This window comes from Homo sapiens, chromosome 9 (genome assembly GCF_000001405.40).
Source record: "Homo sapiens chromosome 9, GRCh38.p14 Primary Assembly".
Classification (NCBI taxonomy): domain Eukaryota; kingdom Metazoa; phylum Chordata; class Mammalia; order Primates; family Hominidae; genus Homo; species Homo sapiens.
The window spans coordinates 129,754,662-129,761,581 of record NC_000009.12 but is presented as its reverse complement, the minus strand read 5'-3'; positions in this window follow the sequence as shown (position 1 = coordinate 129,761,581).

The window sequence follows — 6,920 nt, the reverse complement described above, 5'->3', positions numbered from 1 at the left end:
TGCTAGGCACTGTAAATTCAGCCATAAACAAGACAGAAGCTCAGTTTCAGTTTTCTCTTACCATAAAACTAACCATCTTCAAGTGTGCAATTCCATGTCATTGGTACAGTCACAATATTTTGCAACCATCTTTACCATCCATTTCCAGAACATTTTCATCATCCCAGAAGAAAACTTTATACGCATGAAGCAGTCATTCCCATTTCCCCACCCCGCCTACCCGCTGGCAACCACAAATCTGCTTTCTCTCTCTATAGATTTGCCCATTCTGGACATTTTATATGCGTGGAATCATCATAAAACATGTGACTGCACACCTGTTGTCCCAGTTACTCCAGAGGCTGAGGCAGAAGAACCGCTTGAACCCAGGAGGTGGAGGTTGCAGTGAGCCGAGATGGCACCACTGCACTCTAGCCTGGGCAACTCTCCGTCTCAAAAAAAAAAAAAAAACCAAAAAAAAAAAAAGTGACCTTTTATGTCTGGCTTCTCTCCCTTCACATCATGTTTTCCAGGTTCATCCACGTCACAGCATGGGTCAGGATTTCATTTCTTTTTATGGCTGAGTAATATTCCATTGCGTGGATACCCTGTCTTTGCTTTCTTTTCTTTTTTTTTTTTTTTTGAGATGGCGTTTCATTCTTGTCACTCAGGCTGGAGTACAATGGTGTGATCTCGGCTCACTGTAACCTCCACCTCCTGGGTTCAAGTGATTCTCCTGCCTCAGCCTCCCGAGTAGCTGGAATTACAGGCACCCACCACCATGCCCGGCTAATTTTTTTGTATTTTTAGTAGAGATGGGGTTTCACCATGTTGGCCAGGCTGGTTTCGAACTCCTGACCTCGTGATCTGCCCGCCTCAACCTCCCAAAGTGCTGGGATTTCAGGCATGAGCCACTGCTTCCGGCCTGTTTATTTTTATTTATTTATTTATTTTGAGACAGGGTCTCGCTCTTTTACCCGGGCAGTGGCGGGATCACAGCATGGCTCACTGCAGCCTTGAACACCTGGGGTCAAGTGTAGCTGGGACTACAGGTGCGCACCATCATGGCCGGCTAATTTTTTTTTTTTTTTTTTTTGGTAGAGACAGGGTCTCACTGTGTTACCCAGGCTGGTCTCACACTTCTGCAGTCAAGGGACCCTCCCGCCCTGGCCTCCCAAAGTGTTGGAATGACAGGTGTGAGCCACCATGCCCGCCCTCCAGGCTTTTCTGACCACTGGAACTTTCTTATCACTGGAGCAGTCCCGCTTTTCCACATTTGTAAGAGGGGAAGAGCTCACTTTCAGTTTCCTGACTCAGGGAAGCATGAAGTTAGGGAATGGAGGGACCCTGAAATTGCACGTGGAAGGCTGAGTAGTAAAGTCAGCTGTCTCTTGAGAGCTTACCAGGTATCAGGTGCTATGGGCACGAGCCGACAGCCCCACAGCTAGAACAGGGCTGCCTGTGTGACGAGAACGTCCTCCACTACCAAAGGCCAGCTGTGGGGTCAGGATAAGGACAACCACTAACCCAGGACTCGGGCTCCATATCTCTAAAACGGGCCTCCTAGACATACCTCCCTGAAATCTGATGACCTCTGTGATTAGCCCAGTGTCGAGTGAGAGGACAATGCCCAGTGACCCCGCGGCCATCACCCATCTGACTGCTGTCCTTAAGCAGGGTGGCATCATCCCTGAAAGCCCTCTTGGCTATCTCAGGAATGAGCTCCAGGGGCTGGGCTTGGCCTGGGAGCCAGGCAGGCAGCTCACAATGAGTGGTTCCCTAACAGGGAGCTTCTAGTCCTAACCACTCACACTTGTCAATAAATGTCAGCTTCTATGTTCTTCACTCCTGGATAGGTGTTTGTGGTATCAACATGCAAACTAAATTTAAAATGCACAGTCTTTTCCAGTCCAAATGGAATGGTTCAAAGGAGGGTGTGTTGGGGTAATGCCTCAGTGGCCTTGTTCTGGTCCCAGCCTGCCCAGCACCTAGTCCCTCTCGGAGACCAGCCTGCTCAGCACCCAGTCCCTCTCAGAGACGCACAAGCCTCTCTCCTGGCTCTCTCCTCATCAGAAGACAGGCAGCCAGGCTCCCGTGGGGTGTTCCGGGAAGGCAGGAGTCAGGACCCAGGGCCAAGCTTCAGGATGCAGAGCCAAGCTCCTGGAAGAGAAGTGGAGGTTTTCACTTATGTCAGTGTAGACTCTTTTTTATAAGGGAGAGAAATCCAAAACAAATTAGCTTAGTTCAATTTAACAAATTGGGGTTGTGGCTATATATCAGGCACGATACTGGTGCCTGTAGTTCACTGGTGAACCAAGAGCCCTGCCCCAGGAGGACAGATGTTAGGCAGTAGGGATAATAAGTTAGATGGTGTGAGGCTGGGCATGGTGGCTCATGCCTGTAATCTCAGCACTTTGTGAGGCCAAGGCAGGCAGATCACCTGAGGTCAGGAGTTTAAGACAAGCCTGGCCAACATGGCAAAACCCCGTCTCTACTAAAAAATACAAAAAGTAGCTGGGCATGGCCAGGCACGGTGGCTCACACCTGTAATCCCAGCATTTTGGGAGGCCGAGGTGGGAGGATCACCTGAGGTCAGGAATTCAAGACCAGCCTGGCCAATATGGTGAAACTTTGTTTCTACTAAAAATACAAAAATTAGCTGGGCGTGGTGGCACATGCCTGTAATCCCAGCTACTTGGGAGGCTGAAGCAGGAGAATCGCTTAAACCCGGAAGGCGAAGATTGCAGTGAGCCGAGATCGGGCCACTGCACTCCAGCCTGGGTGACAGATCAAGACTCTGTCAAAGAAAGAAAGAAAGAGAGAGAGGAAGGAAGGAAGGGAGGGAAGGAAGGAAAAGAAAGAAGGAAAGAAAGAAAGAAGAAAGAGGGAAGGAAGGAAGGAAAGAAAGAAAAAGAAAGAGGGAAAGAAAGAAAGAAAGAAAGAAAGAAAGAAAGAAAGAAAGAAAGAAAGAAAGAAAGAAAGAGAAAGAAAATAAATAAATTAGGGCATGGTGGCGGGCGCCTGTAATCCCAGCTACTCTGGAGGCTGAGGCAGGAGAATCTCTTGACCCCAGAGGCGGAAGTTGCAGTGAGCCAAGATGATCGCGCCCCTGTACTCCAGCCTGAGTGATAGAGCGAGACTCCGTCTCACAAAAAAAAAAAAGTTAGATGGTGTGTTATTGGGTGATATGCGCTATGGAAAGAAAAGTGGAGGCAGGGAAGTGGCCTCAGGAGTGGGAAGGGCAGGGCAGACTGCAGAATAGATAAGGTTGCCAGGGTGAGTCTTATGGAGAAGGTGAGAGTCAAACCACGATTTGAAGGAGATGAGATGTCAGCCTTGTGGAAACCTTGGGGAGAATTCTAGGCAGAGAGATCAGTTATAGCAAGGGCCCAGAGGCACGACTGTGTCTGACAGATTCCAGCACGGAGGGCAGTGTGGCTGGGCTTAGTGAGTGAGGGGGGCGGAAGAAAAGAGGAGTTCCGAGAGAAATGGGGAGCAGACAGGACAGGACCATGAGGTGTTGTCCAGACGTTGGCTATTATTTATTTATTTATTTATTTATTTATTTATTTATTTATTTAAGACAGCGGAGTCTCAACTTTGTTGCCAGGCTGGAGTGCAGTGGTACGATCTCAGCTCACTGCAACCTCCGCCTCCCGGGTTCAAGAGATTCTCCTGCCTCAGCCTCCGGAGTAGCTGGGATTACAGGCCGGTGCCACCACACCCAGCTAATTTTTTGTATTTTTAGTAGAGAGGGAGTTTCACCATGTTAGCTAGGATGGTCTCAATCTCTTGACCTCATGATCCTCCTGCCTCAGCCTCCCAAAGTGCTGGGATTACAGGAGTGAGCCACGGCGCCCGGCCCAGACGGCTTTACTCTGAGTGAGATTGGGAGCCACTGCGGTCTTTGCTGAAAAGGAAGGAAGTGATTTGACTTTTTTTTTTTTTTAAGCAAAAATGAAAAATCCTAATTTCTAGGCTCGGCTGAGTCAGAGGCAGGTGGAACACCTGAGGTCAGGAGTTCAACACCAGCCTGGCCAACATGGTGAAACCCTGTCTCTACTAAAGATACAAAAACTAGCTGGGCGTGGTGGCACATGCCTGTAATCCCAGCTACTCTGGAGGCTGAGGCAGGAGACTCGCTTGAACCCGGGAGGCGGAGGTTGCAGTGAGCCGAGATCACGCCACTGCACTCCAACCTGGGCAACAAGAGCGAAACTCTGTCTTAAAAACAAACAAACAAACAAAAATCACTGTGCATTTATTTCCCCACCACTGGCTACAGAAAGCCTAGCAATACTCCCAAAGGTCAGGAACCAGCAGCAGAGGTGGGGCCACTTCCTCCTCTCTAAGCCTCCTCTGATGTTAGGGACAATCAGCCAGCGTGAAGAGCTTGGTTTCTGCTCCTCAGGAAATGCCAGGGAGGGCGCTGGTCTAAGCCACGGGATGGTTTTCAACAGGGCAGAGCCTCTGCTCAGGGTTTCGAACGGGGATAGGAAGAACTTTCACTTTCATGGGTCGAAAAAATATAGTAAAGTAAAAAGGTTTGAAGATACATCTCAGTAACTTTTTTCTCTTTTTGAGACAGAGTCTTGCTCTGTCGCCCGGGCTGGAGTACAGTGGTGCAGTCCTGGCTCACTGCAACCTCCGCCTCCCAGGTTCAAGTGATTTTCCTGCATCAGCCTCCTGAGTAGCTGGAATTACAGGCACACACCACCACGCCCAGCTGATTTTTGTATTTTTAGTAGAGACGGGGTTTCACTGTGTTGGCCAGGCTGTTCTTGAACTCCTGACCTCAAGTGATCCCCCTGCCTCGGCCTTGCAAAGTGCTGGGATTACAGGCATGAGCCACAAGGCCCAGCCCATCTCAGTGACTTTTGACATATGCATTCACCTGGGTAATCACCACCCAGGACAAGATGTAAAATATTTCCAGGGGCTTCTGTTGTCCTCATTGTTGTGGGCACACTGCTGTAGTTCCCGTGGGCCTCAGGACCAGGCCACAGTGAGTGTCCCCCAGCCCCCAACACTGTGCACACACCATCTCCTGTCCCCCACCCTCTGCAAGGCAGGGGACACCAAGCCCATCTTACAGGCAAAGAAATGGAAGCTCAGAGAGAAGTGACACCACCATCACCGTCACCCCCAACAGCCACAATGGCAGCTTCCATTGGCCAAGGGCAGCTTCAGGGAAATTCTTGGCCAAAGATCAGAGATTTTGTCCTCCTTGGCAGGCCTTGGCTTAGCAGGTTCATTTCAGTAGACAGTGACGAAAAGATTCCTATCTTGAGATCATGTCCATCAGTTATACGAATTCCCCTACACAGTCTCTCCCCTATTTTCGGCTCAGGGTAGCGGGAGGTGATCGTCTGCTCTTTGCCCCAAGCTGGTTTTCCCAGCCTCTGCTTTCTATCTTGTTATTTCAGAAGACCAGTCAGGGAAGAGCCACTCTCCCTAGTCCAAGGAGGACAACCAAAGGGCCCCTCCTGGGCTGTGTCTGGTCCACGATTCTGGGGGTGGTACAGCCACCAGACCCCAACCTCATAGCTGAGCTTTTTGACAAGGAAGGTAGCTACCTGCAGGGGTTCCCACGGGCTGGGGGCGAGAGAGGCAGGGATTCTCTCTTCTCCGACAGAAATATCAGCCAGAAGCGAGCTTGCACAGCTCCTCCAACAGACAACCAGAGATAAAACGTGTCTCAGGGCATCTTGTACTTTCCATGTTCCGTCCCTGATGGTATGGTGACCTATCATTTATCTTGTGGGGCCGGGACAGCCTGGCCTGGCAGTTCCCCACGGGAGTCAGTTTATCAAGCACATCTTTTGTTCGGATAAAGGACTGCTTGGCACACAGCAAATGGGCAAGGCACCACCCCCACCTTGCTCACACCCACCTCCCCCAGCAACAAGGGCAGGGATTTCTATGAGTCTCCCTCCTGACAACCCTACTAGGTAGGGATCATTATTCCCTTTGAGCAGGAGGAAACGGAAGCTCAGAGGATGATACTGAACGGAGTGCCTACTTGTTCCAGGGGCTTCATAATTATTTAGCTCCCACAACTGCGCTGGGGAGTGACTTAGGGTCAGCTGCATTTTACAGCTGAGGAAACTGGTTCAGAGGAGGAACCTGCCTGCCTAAGGCCACACAGCTACAGCTGAGGGCTGGCTTTGGGATTCGAGGCTGGCTAAATCTAGCTCTGGCCAATCTTCCCTTTGATCTCTGCTGCTTTGGGGCATAGGTTGGACTGACACAGCTGTCTCTCTGGGCAGGTGCTGTCCCAAAGCACCTGGTCAAGCCCAAGAGTGAAGTAGGCATGGGAGACTGGTTTCTCCCTTTCCCCTTTGCCCCACTTCCCCAGGGCACCTCTCAGCAAAGCCAAATATGTTGGCGAAAATAAATGAGCAAGAACCGTGTACAAGATCCCTGCCCTTGGCCAGGTGCGGTGGCTCATGCCTGTAATCCCAGCACTTTGGGAGGCCGAGGTGGGTGGATCACAAGGTCAAGAGATTGAGACCATCCTGGCCAACATGGTGAAACCCCGTCTCTACTAAAAATACAAAAATTATCTGGGCGTGGTGGTGGGCACCTGTAGTCCTAGCTACTTGGGAGGCGGAGGCAGGAGAATTGCTTGAACCTGGAGGTGGAGGTTGCAGTGAGCAGAGATCACGCCATTGCACTCCAGCCTGGGTGATAGAGCAGGAGTCTGTCTCACAAGAAAAAAAAAAAAAGATCCCTGACCTTGTGGAGGTCCTGCCAGAACCCGGGGAAGCGGGCAGGATGCAGCAAGGTGAGGATTTTTTTTGAGACAGAGTCTCGGTCTGTCGCCCAGGCTGGAGTACAGTGGTGCAATCTTGGCTCACTGCACCTCCACCTCCCAGGTTGAAGCGATTCTCCCGCCTCAGCCTCCCAAGTAGCTGGGATTACAGGTGTCTGCCATCACA